The 19,039-nt window shown below is 39.3% G+C and overlaps 1 protein-coding gene across 4 annotated transcripts in view, besides 1 other annotated feature; it reads right to left on the bottom strand.

Annotated features, from left to right (window-relative positions):
- FLT1 (fms related receptor tyrosine kinase 1) overlaps nucleotides 1–19,039 on the bottom strand; it is a 194,783-nt gene that overhangs the window by 166,453 nt on the left and 9,291 nt on the right. For all 4 annotated transcript variants that reach the window (NM_002019.4, NM_001160030.2, NM_001159920.2 and 1 more), the window contains exons 2-3: nucleotides 723–819; nucleotides 105–331 (exon numbers count right to left, since the gene is read on the bottom strand). In NM_002019.4, the coding sequence (NP_002010.2) occupies nucleotides 105–331; nucleotides 723–819 (324 nt within the window). The remainder of the gene's footprint in view (nucleotides 1–104; nucleotides 332–722; nucleotides 820–19,039) is intronic.
- Nucleotides 469–700: a silencer, noted in NCBI's record as "fragment chr13:29041404-29041635 (GRCh37/hg19 assembly coordinates)". NCBI's record gives its function as "represses an EF-1alpha promoter that drives an FKBP-Casp9 reporter gene in an ReSE screen in HepG2 liver carcinoma cells {active_cell/tissue: HepG2}" and the evidence as "EXISTENCE:reporter gene assay evidence [ECO:0000049][PMID:32094911]".

Here is a 19,039-nt window from a genome sequence, read left to right on the forward strand (position 1 = left end):
TCTTTCATACTCACTAGGAAAGCAACCTTTCCAATGGATCAGGGTAGATTTATGACTCATTTGCAAAGCAAAAGCAAACAGAATGTAGAAAATGGAAGTCTTACCACTAATAAATATATAGATTGCAGATTCTGTTTCCTTCTTCTTTGAAGTAGGTACAGCTAGATATTTGCAGCTGTAGAAGCCAGTGTGGTTTGCTTGAGCTGTGTTCAAGGTTAAAGTACTGCAGAATTGTTTGCCATTTCTTCCACAGGCAGATTTAGTTATGCTCAGCCTTTCGCTTTCCTTACTCACCATTTCAGGCAAAGACCATTTATGGGCTGCTTCCCCCCTGCAATCACAGATAAGAAAACAAAACATATTTATGGCTGGGCCCTAGGCTCAGCACCAGTTCCTCAGCATTCATTTTATTAGGAAGCGGAGGTCCTCTCTTAAGTGTAGTCATCTTCCTCTTTACGGGAAAGCAACACATTCAGAAAAGCTGTAGAACAATACTCAGAATAAAGATGCAGAACTATTTGGGCATCCCTTCCCCCATTTCCCTGAGTGAGTAATGCTCTCCCTTCCCCATGAATCCCCTTTCATGGGAAGCTGGATGCCTATGGTTTGCACTTTGCAGATCACAGGAGATCACTGAGGTCCCTACCTTTTTACTCTGCCAGGGAATGATTTTGCCTTAGGCATGGCAACTAGATTATTCCCAAACCAACACAGCCACTTACCTGCATTGGAGATGCAGTGTCTGGCCTGCTTGCATGATGTGCTGGGTGCCTTTTAAACTCAGTTCAGGATCTTTTAATTTTGAACCTGAACTAGATCCTGAAAAACAAATTTTTAAAATGTATTATTTGTAAATTGTCTTCTTACCTTTTTTTAAGTTATCTTTCCATGAAGGTGAGTTTTTCATTTTTAATTTATTTACATCTTTAATTTACTTGTATCTTTAATTTATAAGCAAAAGATACACTAATACAAATTTCTCTTAATTCACAAATTTTTTCTAGCTCTACCCTTGCTCATAAATATTATATATCCTTTTATACCAAATGACCTAAATAACATCCAAAAGCCTATTTATGTAGAATGGTAATGGATTCATATAGGTTCAATGAAATTATATTAAAATATATAACTAGTTATAATATTCAAATATGCAATAACTTAGTAAAAACTCTCAAGAATAAATGTCAGTGTCATCCAAAATATATTTTCAATACTGAACTTTTTCCAGTGTGGGTCATCTAGTCCTATAGGCCTGTCTCATCTTTTTTTCTGAATAAAAAGTACAGAAATTTTCCTGGGCTCTGAATTTCATGCAATCATTAGTTGAGCAATGATATTTTTGGCCAATCATTTCCCTTTCTGAACCAGTTTCCTCATTTGGAAAACTAATTATAGAATCAAAATCAGTTTTAGAAGACATTTGGTTTGTCTTACGTAATCTATGAGTTCCCTCTACAATGGTACAGTCAAAAGGGAACTGTTCACACGCTTACGTGACATTCGACAAACATCTCGGAGGATTGTTGTGAGGCAATAAAGTGAGGTGGTGAAAGTGCTTTAAAATCTACACATCTCCATATGATGCAATAATGACATCCATTTTAGTGACTAGCTGTATCACCCTAGACAAGTCATCTCTCTTTCCAGATCTCAGTTATCTTATCTGTAAAAAAGAGATTGGACTAGACGACCTTGAAATCTCTGACCTTCCATTTCTCACAGTCCCAGCCTGATATAGCTTGGATGCTGACCCTCCAATTCTGATGGTGAATTGTAATCCTCAATGTTGGAGGTGGGGCCTGATGGGAGGTGTTTGGGTCGTGGGGGTGGATCCCTCATGCATGGCATGGTGCTGTTGTTTAGATCTGATTATCTGAAAGTGTGTGGCACCTCCCCCCTTCTCTTGTTCCTGCTGCCACCATGTGATACACCTGCTCCTGTTTTGCCTTTGACATGAGTAAGGGCTCCCTGAGGCCTCACTGGAAGGCAAGCAGATGCTAGCACCATGCTTGTACAGCCTGGAGAACTGTGAGTCAATTATACCTCTTAATAAATTACCAAGCCTCAGATATTTCTTTACAGCAATGTAAGAACAGCCTAACAGACAGCCTCATGATTTTTTGAACCATAGGTGCTACAGAGGCTGAGCCTCCCTTGAAGCTATTACTGACCAATCAGAATACTATCACTAAGGATCTCTCTCGCCTCCTTCCTCCCCTCATCCCTCAGTCTCTCTTCTCCTTCTCCCTCTTCTTCACCAGCCTCCTCCTCCTCCCCTCTTCCCAGGCAGCTGCAATGCCTCCGAAAGGCAGGGAATGAGGGGCCCAGGATTAGCGTTCCTTAGGCGGGAATAGAAGTTAGCAGGAGAGAGGAAAGAAATTCTTGGAGGGAGGAAAACTTAGTATTTGGCACCAATCTCAGGGTATAGTTTTCTTTAAAAAATCAGTTTAAACAGTGGAAGCAAAGGTAGAAGCTCTAAGTGAATGGTCATGGAGGGTTTACCATTAGGTCACAGATCTGTGAGATGATGTGTGTGTCAAATACCCTGGTTATGCCCAGCAGTCCTCTCCAGCGTTTCTCTTGGATTTGACTATCTCAAAAACTGGATTCAGTTAGAAGATCTGCGTTTGAGGCTTAGCTTTTCCACCTACTGACTGCATGACCTTGGCATCACTTAATTGGCTGCTCCTCAGGCTCCTCGTGAGTGGAACTGGAAAGCCTACGAGCCACCTCACAGGCAGGGTGTGTGCATTCGGTGCTGTGCTGTGGAAGAGGCTGGCTTGCTGCCTGGCACGTGGCAGATGCCCACTATCACCAACATCTAGGGGAATCACTTCCCCTCCCCCTGCTTCTGTCAGAATATTTTGCTGGGTATATAATTTCAAAGATACTAAATTAACATATGCTTTTCTGGTATTGCTGATGATATAAATTAATATCTTTTAAATTTTTATTTTATTTTATTTTTGAGACAGAGTTTCACTTTGTTTCCCAGGCTGGAGTGCCTTGGTGCGATCTTGACTCACTCTGCAACCTCTGCCTGCCAGGTTCAAGCGATTCTCGTGCCTCAGCCTCCTGAGTAGCTGGGACTACAGGTGCGCATCATCAGCGTGGCTAATTTTTTGTATTTTTAGTAGAGATGGGGTTTCGTCATGTTTGCCAGGCTGGTCTTGAACTCCTGACCTCAGGTGATCCACCTGCCTCGGCCTCCCAAAGTGTTGAGATTAGAGGCATGAGCCCAGCCTAAATTAATATATTAAAAGTAATTTTTACAGACAGTAGATCCCGGTATCAAAGTACTCCTAAATAAAATGGCTGAATATTAACTAAATTAAAATCCCTGTTTCATATGGATCCCATTGGTCTATCAAACAACCTCCTAGATCAAGTCAACCCCTTCAGGTACCTAGGAATGTATTTTAACTCATACTTATCTTTATGAGTTTCTTGAGGCAACATGTGGCCCAAAATCAGGGATCTGTGGAAACGCCAGACTTTTCTAAAGCCACAGCCAGCAATGGATAACACCTGCCCTGAGAAACTTCCATGCCAGAATAGTTTCTGCCCTTCTTTATGGCATGGAACTCTGGGGATTTAATTGAGCAATTGTTCATGTGCTGGAAAAGATCCATCGAAGCTTCCTGTGGAAACTTCTGGCATTACTTGTAGTTATCTCTGTGGTCTGTCTGGAGATGCTGAGCGCTCCCGTCCAGGAAAAGAAGCAGTTCCCCTGTTTGTGACATCCCACTGCCTACATCTTGGTTTCCAGACCACATGAATCTTTCTTTATCAGCAACTTAGAACACCAGTACTCCTGACCCTCATCAGAGGAAACCGCTAACTTCAAAGAACCACCCAAAGCCCAGCTGAGAGAAGTGCTATTTATTTATTTATTTACTTATTTTTGAGATGGAGTTTTGCTCTTGTCGCCCAGGCTGGAGTGCAATGGCACAATCTCAGCTCACTGCAGCCTCCGCCTCCTGGGTTCAAGCGATTCTCCTGCCTCAGCCTTCCAAGTAGCTGTGATTACAGGCGCCTGCCACCACACCCAGCTAATTTTTATATTTTTAGTAGAGACGGGGTTTTGCCATGTTGGCCAGGTTGGTCTCAAACTCCTGACCTCAGGTGATCCGCCCACCTCGGCTTCCCAAAGTGCTAGGATTACAGACGTGAGCCACCGCGCCGCGCAAGAAGTGCTATTTAGAGAAGATCTCTTAGACAGTGTGCCCTCTACTTGTTCGTGTCCACACTCCCCATGCTGTCCCCCAACCAGAAGACAACATAACTGAGTGGTTAAAAGACACTGACAAAAATGGGGTTATTCTAAAAAAAAGCGTTGCCACATAATTTGTCTCCAGTAACATCAGTGTATTTTGCACCTGGAATGAGGAAGCTAGATAAAAAACAGTTAACCAAAACACAGGTAAACAGAAGTATAAGGAACAAATTTCCAAGTAACTGGTGACTTTGAGTGCATCACTATCCTTCAGTTAATAGGAAACTAGAATCTCATAAAGGTTATTGGAGGTGTCAAGATTATAGTTTAACAGGAAAACGAATAAGAAAAAGGGAAAGTGAAAATATTTATTTCTTGAATGTTTTGAATTCACATTATTAGGCCTTAACACATTTCTTTGAGGCAGTTTCATGTCCATGTACCTATCTGAGTAACAAAGATTCAACATTTGTTTTAGCATCTACTGCATGCTAGACACTTGCCCATCTTATTAGTGATTTATATAAAGATAGATGTGTATGTACGTACCCATAAACACATGCATAGTCATAGCATGGGGAAGTCAGCTTGATCGTCTCAGTAGCTCAGAGTCATGTTGCCCATTTACATAACAAACCTACAGGCTATTTCATTTTCAAGGGTGGAGTGCTATAATTTAGCAATGAATCTCAGATGCAGATGAGAACTTTCTAATGCTTCACATGGCAGCCTAGAAATCTGATTTAAAAGAATGATTTTTGTCCTCCCAATAAATGATCTTGTCCCTTCTGTGAACTACTGTTTTCATCAAAGTCAATTACAATATAATCATAAGAGGCATACAGATCTCCTTACATCACGAAAACATTTAAATAAAATAAAACAAAAAAACTCAACATAGAGCATGAAAATGGGCTTTATCCCATGCTACTTTGTTAGAAAAACTGTTAAGGTCAAGCAGTGTAGGCTAATAGCATTAAAAAACCAACATGTGAACGTGGACTTATTTGAACACTGACACTTTGTATTGATCTTATCTGAGTCTTTTCTTCATTGTTTTTCTGTTCTGTATTATCTGGCAGGTGGAACAGAACTTTATGACTCTTTGACACAAATCCCTTCTCTCCTTTCGCACATGCTAGACCTCACATAGAAAGCCTATACGTAGAGTGTTCTAAAATGCCACCCCTAATTCCCCACCTTAGTTTCATTAGGCAAAATGGAATGTTTTCTTTGACTTCATTGGGAAGAGTGAATACATATCCAAGTAAATGATGGCTTTATTTTGCAACTAAATCCAAAGCCCAGATGATTGAGGCTCTTTCTTCAAATGCTCTTCAAAGCTGCCATGATGGATACTAAAAGAGCCAACTCCCACTGGAGGTCATTATGAACCAGACAGCCTTGAGGTCACTTGTAAAACTCAAGACTCTCAATGTAAAGTCTGTAAAGTCTGACTAAGAGTATGTTTAGAAAACTGCTATTTTTACTAATCTAAATAAACAGTGTTCTAGCTGGTCGAACCCAACTTCAAGACAAATCCCCTGGTTTCTCTCCCACCAGATGCCACCTTGGCACCCCTTATTCTGTTGAAGTCTTAGGGTTATTCTCTGTAAGAAAGGAGCTTTATTTGAATATAATTCATGAAACATCTGTGTTTTTCCATTTTTTATTATGAGTCATTAATCTCCCTAGCTCTGCCATTTGTGAGTTCTGTTGTGGCCATGGGCGGGCCACATTAAGCCTCCGATTCTTCATCTGTCAACACAGGAGATTAGGGTTCGGTTTTTAGGATCCTTTCCAGCTAAAAATTCTGATCCTGGGGTCACAGTAATTGATAACAATGTATAAGTTAGAAATCACATTTTAGAAATACTTATGGTTAGTAAAAAGACAACAGCCTAATTTTAAAGATCAACCAAGGCTCTGAATAGACACCTTCCCAAAGAAGATATATAAATGACCAATAAGCCCATGAAAAGATAAAGGACATCATTATTCATCAGGAACATGCAAATAAAAAACACAGGGAGACACCACTTCATGCCGACTGGGAAAGCTTAAATAAAAAAGACAGATAAGAACAAGTGTTGGTGAGAATGTGGAGAAACTGGAACCCTCTTACATCGCAGGTAGGACTTTTAAACGGTGCAACCCACTTTGGCAAGCAGTATGGCAATTCCTCGATGGTTAAACATAAGAGTTGATCATAATTTAAACACATGACTCAGCAATTGCACTCCTAGGTATCTACCCAAGACAGATGAAAACATCCATCCACATAAAAACTTACACACAAATGTCCACAGCAGTATTACCTATAACAGCCAAAAAGAAACAACCCAGGCCCAGCGCAGTGGCTCACGCCTGTAACCCCAGCACTTTGGGAGGCTGAGGAGGGTGGATCACCTGAGGTCAGGAGTTCGAGGCCAGCCTGGCCAACATGGTGAAACCCCGTCTCTACTAAAAATACAAAAATTAGCCAGGCATGGTGGTGCGCGCCTGTAGTCCCAGCTACTTGGGAGGCTGAGGCAGGAGAATGGCTTAAACCCGGGAGGCGGAGATTGCAGTGAGCCAAGACTGCGCAATTGCACTCCAGCCTGGGTGACAGAGCAAGACTATATCTCAAAAGAAAGAAAGAAAGAAAGAAAGAAAGAGAGAGAGAGAGAGAGAGAGAAAGAAAAGAAAGAAAGAAAGAAAGAAAGAAAGAAAGAAGGAAGGAAGGAAGGAAGGAAGGAAGGAAGGAAGGAAGGAAGGAAGGAAAGAAAGAAAGAAAGAAAGAAAGAAAGAAAGAAAGAAAGAAAGAAAGAAAGAAAGAAAGGAAGAAAGAAAGAAAGAAAGAAAGAACCCAATGTCCATCATCTGATGAATGGGTAAATAAAATATGGCAGATCCTTACAATGTGGTATTATTTGGCAATAAAAAGGAATGCTGATATGTGCTGCCACATAGATGATCTTGAAAACATTATGCTGGCCCACAGAGAAAACGTCATGTAAGCACACAAGGAGAAAGCAGCTATTTGCAAGCCACAGAGAGATGCCTCAGGAGAAACCAGACCTGCCAGCACCTTGATCTCCTTGATCTCAAGCTTCCAGCTTCCAGAATTATGAGAAAATAAATTCCTCTAGTTTTATTGTTAAAAAACAAAAAACAGGCCGGGCATGGTGGCTTATGCCTGTAATCCCAGCATTTTAGGAGGCTGAGGCAGCTGTATCACCTGAGGTCAGGAGTTCGAGACCAGTTTGAACAACATGGTGAAATCCTGTCTTTACCAAAAATACAAAAATTAGCCAGGTGTGGTGGCATGCACCTGTAATCCCAGCTACCTGGGAGGCTGAGGCATGAGAATCACTTGAACCTGGAGGAGGAGATTTCAGTGAGCTGAGATTGCACCACTGCACTCCAGCCCTGGGCGACAGAAACTCTGTCTCAAAAACAAAACAAAACAAAACAAAACAACCACAGACACACACACACACACACACACACACACACACACACACAAACCCCACAAATCATTGTGCTAAGTAAAAGAAGCCAGTCACAAATGGCCACATATTGTATGATTCCATTTATATGAAATGTTCAGAGCAGGCAAATCCTGGAGACAGGAAGGTAGATTAGTGGTTGCCAGGGCTTGCGGGGAGGGGATGGAGGGTGACTGATAATCAGTATTGGGTTTCTTTTGGGGGTGATGAAAATGTTCTAAAATTAGATTAATGGTGATGGTTGCACAACTCTTGAATGGACCAAAAACCACTGAATTATATACTTTAATATTCTTGTCTCTTACAGTCATATTTTGGGGTGTCATATTCTGGTCTCCTATAGTATGTGAGATTTACCTCAATAAAGCTGCTATTTTTAAAAACCCAGCAACTGATGACTAAAGTAATCACAGAGTTATGTTGAAGGCCTAGAATATCCAGTTATTTTGAAATTTGTTGCCACATATTACCCCATCAGTGTGAGATTTTACACTAGTTGTTTTTCCAGCTTAAAACTTTAGAAGGCTGATTTTAGAGACCTAATTTTCCCTTAATGTTCTGTAACATCACTACCTAATAGTAGAAGTTTACAAACATGTTGCAAAAAACTTGCTGTTCCCTCCCCCGTTACAATCTTTTCAATTTAATTTAGTGTTAGTTTTAAATCACTCCTAATTGCATATTTTGAATTTTCCCTATTTAAATGGAAATTTTTAACAAATTATGTCACTAGGACTCTGAATAAATCTGGTGTTTCCTTTTATATCAATTTTTTATTTCTAATTTATTTGTTTTTAACTTAAAGCTCTGTATATTCCGTTTATTTGAAATGAAATGCATCTGTCTTTGATTTTGCATACTGTGTTTTCAGTAGTACATAATCCTGAATGATAAATGGCCTCTTTATCTAAATAGAGATCCCTAAGTATCATGTTTCTAAAATTTGAATTTAAGATCATGAGCCTTTTACAAAGGTTGTTCGAGGTTAATTAAGCATAATTCACAATAAGAGAAAATATTCTTTCCTTAAGATGTAGCTTATTAAAGGCCGAAATCTCATAGACTAAATCTCATAGAATCTTTGGGGTTGGTGGCAAGGATGGGAGAAGGGTTAAGAATGCAATTGCAAATTTCCGGACGCTACCAACATTTTTATTTGCGATGCTTATTCTTATAGGGCTCTGAAACTTAATAAAAAAAAGTTAACTCTTAGTTCTTAACCTCTGTGTCATATCTCTATCCAAGTATTTATCAGATAATATGAAGTGGGCATTATAAGTGAATGCCTAGATTAAAGTAACCACATTAAATGGAGACTACACTACCAGCTATGCTGACAGGGCCCATGCTTTGATGAAGAGCATTATAATGTCCCATCTCCTCTCACTTCCAGAATGATGGAGAAAGGCCAGAGAGTTCATATTCCATCCACCAACAGACTAAATAGAAGATGTGAAAGTCATGGGGATTCGTATGAACTGAAAGCATATTTTTTCAGTCCCACAGTTAGCAATGATACTAATTTTTAAAATGTCAGGTTTGTCTTCCAAAACAATTGGCCTTAAATCAAGAAAGAATGTAAAGAAATGAAAGAATGTGCACATAAATACACACACACATGCACACACACACACACGCTTGCTGACACGCATGCATACACTTTTCTCTCCATGAGAACGTCAAGTTTGTTTGAGTGGTGGTGGGGAGGTTGATGTAGAACTAGAAGAGGTTTTTGGTGTGTGCTTTAATTACATTTTTCATTCAGCTTAGGCTCAGGGAAAGCTCTTTCTAGGCGGGGATTTAGAAATTGACTTGAATGTGGCAAGAGTATGAAGCTGTGACTCACTGCTGACTAATCCCTTATGCAGATAAGATTATTTGTGACTTTTACATGGGCAACTTTACAAATATGTAATATTTTATTTTAGAGTAATTGTGTTATTGGTCTTTAAGGTCCACAATAGGACTGAATGTTTAGGCAGCTGCTGTCCAGCAACATTATATTTAGTTTGTAGAAAGTTTCTAATCCTAGGAACCTGCTTTTTCCTTTAAATCTTTATAGTATATTAAACGCACTATTTTACCACACTGATTTCTTGCTTTAGAGGTTTTGCCATTCTAAGTAATCCTCAAACTATTAGATTCAATATGTGAAGTCTCTGATCTCAAAGTCTGAATAGAAAATTCAAAATAGTCACGTATATAGCATTTATGTCTTGAATCCAGGTGTCAAAAAATAAATCAAGAAATTACCTAAATGTTTAACACCAGCAACTGGAATTGGCACTTCTCCGCAATTATGTTCATTTCAATAATTCTGCTCTGGTTTGTTCATTTTAAGGCTGTCTTACAATTCATATTTTAATTGTCTGTCAATGAAACTCATAGATAGGTTTTGTAGCTCTTGGCACAAAAGACATCACAGTGTTAGCCACTGAAGTGGCCAAAGTCTAAAATCATCAAAACTTGGACAGTTTTCATCCCATCCATACATGGGTCATTGACTTTACTCATTTTTCCTTAAGCTTCAGAAAAGTTATTTACACGGAAAAAAATCTGTGTGGTTTAAAATGTTTACCAGGAAAAAATGCTCTAATAACGTCAACATTCCTACTGTCTATGTTTATGAGGGAAACATGTCTTCCGCATGCCTCTCTGAGCTTTTTACTTGACACTGCCTTCTTTGAGGGTCACAGTTTAACAGGGCACATTCATTGATCATTAGGCCTGTCACCAGGCTACCATCAGGGACCTACCCTTCCAATGACCTATAGCCATGCACAACTCCTTTTCATGTGACATCAGAGTTAATTAAGGTTGGTTTGGGAGAAATCTCCTGCTGACCAAGGAGTTACCTTTTCCCAAAAAATGCTCTACTCCTACACCGCTGGTCTGTTATTAAATGAGTTCAAAAACCACCTCCATAGAGCTGTCTAACAATATGTCATTTCAGTTTACCATACGATGTCATGAAAGTTATCTGAGCTGCCTAGGGCAAAGGTCAAGATCTGGTTGACAGGGCACGAGACATAACTCGTAAAATACTCGGTAGAGAAGTCTGGTAGACCTTCGTCTGGTTATGCAAATGGACACGAACAGAGAAAACACTCTTTACACCCTAAAAATGCATACAGGAACGTTTTGTCTGTTAGGAAGGGCTTGGACACATCTCTGTTTTCTCTATCAGTGGCAGGACACTTTTACATTTGAAGCATACTCCCCACGGGCTTATGTTCTTATCCAATGTCACTGTTTAGAGGTCTGAGAGGAAACTGAGCTCTGACGTCACGTCTTATAGAATGGATCATAATTGCCAGTAGTGTTATGCTACTCAGAAGTTGTTTCAGGCTGAAATATACACATTTTCAGATTGTGAACACCTGGAAGAGACATGACAACTGATTGCTCAGTGGAGATGCCATTTCAATAAACACACTCAATGTATGTGAGACTAAATATACAGGTGGCTTAGTGAAAGTAACTGAGTTTTTAAATTAGTTTGTTAATTTTTTATCAATTTGTGCATCCTCTTTAGAATCATAGTGTCTGATCAGTGACAAAATGCTTTTAGCTGCAAGAGCATTTGCATAGAGTTGTATTATTAAGACTAGTAGTACTAATAACATGCTTGAACTGCCTTAACTTTAGATTTCTAATCTCTAAATTATTTAGGATTGCAAATTTCAGTTCTGCCAAAGGCATCCTCCGTGTTCTCTTTAAATAAACAATTACCAGTTTGGAAGCATAGCATGGAATGCATGTGACTCGCAATCTAAAATGGAAAGTTTTCTGTTTTACATAGCATCAGGATTACAGTTTGGTCTATGTCCAGATATTTTACCAAATACTCTGCTTTCATTACTGTTCAGTGTCAAAGTTCCAGGCATCTATAGAGATGATGACAGCATGTTTCAATGTTATGGATTTGTCATTTATGTGGATCCCTGTGGGTTCCCTTAGAAGGAAAGTCTCACAGAAAAGATCTGGGAGATATTTGATCAATTCCGTATAGGAGCTTGCCATGTAACAGTTTAAGTATAAAAGCGGGAATTGGAACTTTTAAATTTTATTCAACTACGTCTTATAACCTGTCATGTGACATAATCTTCAGATCCACACACAGTTCCTTCTGGAAAAAAATGAATATGTCATGGAGCTGTAATGTGATGCTGTTAAACTACCATAAAATGCATATTGTTCCAGTTTCTATTTTGATTCCCAAATAGTGCCTTCACATTTTTGTATAATAAAATGAATAAGAAAGGCTGGCAAACAGGCAGACAGACAAGTGTGCACCTTAGCACTGTAGCTGTTCATGCCAGAAAAGCCAAAAATGTTATTATAGCAATACAAAGCCTTATCTATTCTCCTCATGCAGACTTTCAGCTTCAGAATCGATTACAAATAATGACAGAATACCATTTGCTTTGTATATAAAAATGGAGGAGAGATGAAATGAGATTGGAAGGCCGAATGTGATAAAGTTCTGATGTTAATTTTCAGCTTACTTTGATACAGTTTATGAAGTCCAAATTATATAGAAAACATCTTTCTGGAGTCCTTTAGACTGTTCATAAAGGGTATTCTTTAAATTCACCCACTAACAGGAAAGTTGAGAAGATCTCTATCTTTGCAACCAATAATATATACAAACCCTCTGACCTTTGAGATTTAAATGGCCAAGAGTGTGCAATAAAGTTATCCATCATAGGGGAATTGAGTTTTTGAAAGCTACATTAGCAAATTTCTAAGACTCATTAAACACATTCTTGATGATTGTGTTTTCTATTGTCATAATCAGTTTCCTTCTAAGTTAAACAATTTGAAATATAATTGCCTTTCATTACACATATTTTGGAGATTAATCATGCTTCGGAAATGGGGTGGACATGTTGATTAAACTGTTATTTTTTATTCTGGGTTTTTCTAATTTCACATTTTCTTAAGATATCCTTCACGTAGTAAGTATTTGTAAGAGCTGTGCTTTCCTAAGATTTCAAAAACTTAAAAAAATCTTATCTTAGATGGAATTCATGTTATACAAGTTTTGCTGAGAGTCAAATTTCTGGAAGGAAAAGTAATCCATTAAAAGTAGTACATTTTCACCAGCAGTATCTGAATTTTTAAAAGAAATAATTTACCGAATGTTTTTCACTCATTTCGGCATGTGATATTAAGGCCTTCCTTACAAATACCCATAGAAGACTTTAGCGTTGTTTGTATTCAATGCCTGGGGAATGCTGGTTTTCATTCTCAGGGGATATATACCCATACACCTTCATTACTCTATCTAGAACTTTATTTCTAGAAATTAGCTTTTTTAAAAATATCATCCAAGACATTATATCTCTGATAGAAGAAAAACAACAATTTCTGTTATCAGTTGGCCACCAACCCAACAGCTTTAAAATAACTTATGAATCAGCTCATTCTGTAGGACAAAACCAAAACCAAAGTAGAAGTTACATAAAACCAAAAGGAACAGCTCTGTGGAGAGGTAGTAAGGTGCCCAATGCCGAAGCTGCTCCCATGAAATTAAGCCACCACCTCCTTTGGATGAGACTGATGAACTGAGTTAAGGGTTGGACTCTTAGGTGCAATCCCAGGAGTCTGGGAACTCCATCCTCATTTAGCTATGCTTCTTATCTCTCTTTTACTGCCACCAATCCTGGTTTTTCCCCTCACTACATTCTCTATATGACCCCTTTCTCTCACTCCCTTACCTTGTTTATTTTTCCATCTTTAACCTCAACATTTATTCTTTCATTTAATTTTTTGAACGTATACCGATAGAGATACAACAATAAACAAGACAAACGAGGTTGCTTCCTTTACAGTGTTTATAGCTTAGCATGGACAACAGATAAATAAGTATATATAGATATATATGTAATGATGCATAAAAATAATTTCTGCTTAAAGAAATAGAAAATTACATTATATTTGTGTGTTATCATGGGGAAGTGCCAGGTGTGGAGGTACCTCACTCAGCCCAGGGAGTGAGAGTCTTCTATTAGAATAAAGTTGGAGGTGAGACCTGAAGAATCAATGTGTATTTGCTAAAAGAAATAGCAGGGTCTCTTTCTCCTTCAAAGACTTCCACATCTTTCCACCCTCTAAGCTTCATCTTTCCTTTTAAACAAGTGTTTTCTTCTAACAGTTTCACATACATTTCCTTGTTTCTTAGAACTCTTGTTTTCCTCAGCCTCTGTGCTGGGAGGAGAAAGCTCTATCATCTTCTTTCAATGCTGTGGTTCGCATATTTTTTGTCTGGGGTCTACCTGACTTCACCTGCCACTAGGAAAAAAGCCACAAGTAATCATACTTTAGATACATACCCAGGTCACGTTGTGCTTGTTAAAACAGAGCACCACGGAAGACGACCGGGGTGGAGACTCAGCAATGAGGGAATGAATGAGGACTGTCAGATGTGATGCGTTAGCCAGGACTTCATGTTCTTAACGTGTCCTTCCTTTTGGCAGGTCACCTAGCCAGTACCACACATGACCCAGAGCCAAGAGGAAATAATTTTCAACCAAAATGTTCTCATTCCAGGTGACAAAACAATGGCAGCAATAGTAACATTACCTAGTGACTCGGGCTCTGTTGGTGTACCTAGAAATTAAAGGTTCCAATCAACTATCTTCTGTGCTGTTTGGGAACCTAAGCCAGTTAACAGTCTCCCAGCAGGAAGGCTCATCTCAAGGAAAATATCTCCTGGGAAGCAATTCTCTAGAAGATGGGCAGTGTAGATCCTCATTCTCAATCCTGAGTCTACAGTCGAGTCAGGAGAACATGGCCAGCTTAGCCAAAAATGAGAAAATGGTCACTGGACCTAGAAGATAACCCAAATGGAAGGAACAGAATATTGCCTGTGTATTGGGAGAATTGTTGCCAGCTCCTGGCCATATTTCTCCTAACCTCCTCCGCTTATACACACACACACACACACACACACACACACACACACACACATACACGTACTTAGAAGGTGAACCAATGAGGAACCATGACTCCTAGAAGGGCCTCAGACCCAGAGAAATGGCTCAGGATATGATTTCAGTCAGTTCAGCCAGTATTTATTGAGTGACCATTATGTGCCAGGCACTGTACTGGATTCACAATTGCAAAGATGGGTCAGAAACATTTCTTCCTCTTGAAGGTCTTTCAGCTCTAAGCTGGCCTCTTAGGGGCTGTCATTTAGAAGTAGAATAGGTGAATACTAAGAAATATGGAAGATAATCTAAGTCAACAAATAGAGATCTCCTGCAAACTATGTACACTATGTCTTTAAGGAACACATCCTTTAATATAGGAAGTCACACATTCTTCACCAACATAAGTGATTTATCTTAGTAAAACTCAGTTAAATTCACAAAATAAGAACACTTATTCAATGATAAACATGTAACACAATGAATACAACCATATCTATACCTCAAAATAAAATATAATGGATTACTTGATGATAATCCCTTGAGCATCTTTTAAATGAATGTATTAAAATGTTATAAAATAAAAATCTTCTACACATTCCTGAACTCAGCTTGGAAATAGGGCATGAATCTAGAATAATGACTGGCTATAAAATCGGGATCAGGAGAATTAAATTTAATATGGCTCATGTTTTTCCTCATGCAGTTGTGGGAGAAAATACAGACCTCGCCGGGTGTGGTGGCTCACGCCTGTAATCCCAACACTCTGGGAGGCCAAGGCGGGTGGGAGTTTGAGACCAGCCTGACCAACATGAAGAAATCCCATCTCTACTAAAAATACAATATTAGCCCAGCGTGGCGGTGCATGCCTGTAATCCCAGCTATTCAGGAGGCTGAGGCAGGAGAATTGCTTGAACCCAGGAGGTGGAGATTGCAGTGAGCCGAGATCACTCCAGCCTGGACAACAAAAGTGAAACTCCATCTCAAAAAAAAGCCTGGACAACAAAAGTAAAACTCCATCTCAAAATAAATAAATAAATAAATAATAATAAAGAAAGAAAAAGAAAAAAAAAGAAAAGAAAATACAGCCCTCCAAATCATTGGAAGAGGAATATTTCTTAAACCTCCCCTCCTAAGTTTGTATTTAACATTATCCCAAAATGGTGAATGAATTACTCCAGCAAGGCAATTCCATGCCCATCGGTTTGGACTATAAAGCGCATTTAAGAAATAACAACAACCAAGCAAACTTTATTTCTACAGTTTAGGATTTTACTCCCTCTAAGAAAAGATAATCTGGATATAGAACCACTAAGTTTAATGTCAGTCTCAAAAGGCTAAAGTGAAGTAGAAATTCCTGAAAATTCACTCCTGTTAGTTTCCTGAATTTCCCATTTGCCTTCTAAGTGACTTTGCGTAGCGAATACTTTGATAGGGTATTTTTCATTGACCAGTTTTGAAGACAGAGGATGGGATGGGAGCTTGAGTGGCTGAACCACTTTTAGCTTGTACATCAACAATGTGTGTCAAATATTTCCTAACCCTCAAGAAGTTACAGGTACTCAAAGTCCATTCCAGGGCACTGCAATTACTCTATTTCCACACATATATTTTTCTCTAGTTCTACCAGAAGTCCTTATGGAGAGGATTCTGAAGCCATAAAAATTTTCAAAGAACAGCAGTGAACAAAAATCTGATCTAGCAGGAGACATTAAGTGGAAAAAGAGAGTTAAACAATGTTTTCCAAAAAGAAAACAATACCATTAATCATAGATGCAGTGTTGTTGCCAGAGTTTACACTGCCTTTTAAAACTGTTTGTTTGTAATCCTCTCTAGCATATCCCTGCCTCCCCATCTGTTTACATACATTTTTGGTTTCTCTAATGCCAACTTAGAGAAAGAAAACAATCATAAAAATCCAACAGTGGATTTTTACATACATAGACACCATGCATATTTTTACATAGTATATACACCATTCCGTATAATTTCCATCTAAAGCATGTATCCATTTGACCAAACGTTCCAGCTTTTTCTTTGGAGTGAAAGATAAAACTCCTCAATAGGTGGCAGGATAGGATTTTTCTCAGCTTCTGGTAACATGACAGTATTCTGGTTGAAAAAGTGTCCTTCTCCGAGTAACAGGTCAAGAAAGAAGAAGGAAAACGCTATTTTCTCCTTCTTGACTTCTTGCAGGTCTATGTTAAAGGAATGATCTAAGAAGGAGGGAGAGACACAGGAGCTACGGGGCTTAAAGAAATGCTCCCCGTGTTGCTCACTGTACAAGGACTGCCAATCAAACAGGGAAATCAAAGTGACTGACAGTAACTTGTTTAAGAAAAAGGCTCTTGGATGGTTGTCTTTTCTCATAAATATGACAGTTTTTTTATTCCAAACCCTGAAAACAAAACTCTTGCCTTTTTTCTTTAATTCCTAGATTTAATCATTCAAGATACTTTGAGTAAATGTTGGTGGAAAGAGTCCCCGATTTCAAAATTAAAAAGACCTAGGTTTGAATCTTGGCTTGGCTGTTCCATAAATGGATGGCCCTCAGCAAGTCAGCAGGGTTTCCTCAGCCTTGGGGCTTCAATCCATAAAACAAAGTTACAGGTGTGCACAGTAGGTGGCTAGGAAGAGACTTGATGGAGTTAACACAGAAAGTGCCCTGTGCTGACATGTTCACATTTTTTTCCCTTCCCTGGGGGACAGTTAATGTCCTCCCCTATCCAATTCATGTAGCATCTGCCTTCAGGGTCAAACACACTTCCAGGTCGTTCTGTGAGGTATTTTAGTTTCATTCTGGAAAAGCTGTGAGCTTTCTGGAATCTGAAAGGTGCAGAGGAGCCCACGTTGGATTCCTGGAAACCATCTGTGAGAGGGCAGTCCCAGCTTTTTCCTCGGACCTGCCTGATATGAGCTTTTCTAGAATAAAGTGCTGTCCTCATGCTGTTGTTTGTCATCTGAACTGGTTTAAAGCCATATCTAGGAGAGCAGTTTGGAAGCCCACATAAAATCATGTCCTTGATGGCTTTGGGGCTCCTTTTCTGACTAAGTTTTTTGGGAGGTCCTTGAATGCCTACGATAAGAAAACTCACATGATTAAAATTCTGTCTTATTGGAGATGTGAACAGTGTCTGCCACATACAGCAGTGGAATCTCCCAAGGCCACTTTAAGCTGGAGTAGCAGTGGCTTCTCACATTCTTTGGAGATGGCCAAACTCCAAGGACAGAAGGAGGGAAAGACTAGCACAGTCCCCTTGATGCTTTTTCCTTCTCCTCTTTTCATTTAGGCTTGAAGGCATGGTAGGAGGATCCCTAAATGTCGGGTTTGCAAGTCTGATAGACTCAGATTCAAATAATTCCAAGTTTACTTACCACTTCTGTGATCTTAGGGAAAGTATTTAATTTACCTAAGCATCAGTTTTTGCATGGTTAAGAGGACCGTACCTCTCGGGACTGAGTAAAATAATATATGTAACTCCTGTTGTGGTGTGGGGGGAGGGGGGAGGGATAGCATTAGGAGATATACCTAATGTTAAATGACGAGTTACTGGGTGCAGCACACCAACATGGCACATGTATACGTATGTAACTAACCTGCATGTTGTGCACATGTACCCTAAAACTTAAAGTATAAAAAAAGAAATATTTGTCTGTAATATTTAAATGCCTAATAAATATATAATTGAAATAAAAAATATATGTAAATCAATTACATATATTGATTGTATAGTCAGTAGGGTTTGGTTGCCTCCTTTCTCCCTTCCCCAAAGCATGTCTGTCCCTGCAGTCTCGGCACCTCCAGAAAAAGGTGCTAAATCAGGGCCTCTATGATAAGAGCCCCAAGAAGCTGCAGAGCTGCCTGCACTCAGAATCTTGGGGTCAGCTGTCCTCCCTTGCTGGTGTCATGTTAGTCATCAGAGGCTGCTGCCCAGCATGCCTGTCAGGTACTCAAAACAAAATTTGAATTAAGAATAGAAAGCTCTTCTCTGGGGCCTGTTTTATTTTTTATTTATTTATTTATTTATTTTTACTCCCAGATACTGTTTAGAAGGGTCAAGACATTATGTAGCATTTATTGTTATTTACTATAATAAGTTATTTACTGTATTTTCTTGGCCAAACTCCAGCTTAATAGCTAGACTGAAAAGCAAACATGAAGTGTTACACAATGGTGTGGTCCATTGTGAGGCTGTGCTCCTCTCCACGCAGAGAGGCATCTGCTTCCCACCCCTCGCATCTGAGCTGGGCTTGCTTTGACCAATAGAATGTGGTAGAGCGGTGTTGTAGGCGTTCCAAAGCCTAAGCCTCAATATGCCTTGCAGCTTCCACCATCACACTCTTGCAACACCGCTGCCCCCAGGGAAAGGAAGCCCCGGCCAGGCTACTGAATG

The sequence above is a fragment of the Homo sapiens genome, chromosome 13 (genome assembly GCF_000001405.40).
Source record: "Homo sapiens chromosome 13, GRCh38.p14 Primary Assembly".
Lineage (NCBI taxonomy): Eukaryota > Metazoa > Chordata > Mammalia > Primates > Hominidae > Homo > Homo sapiens.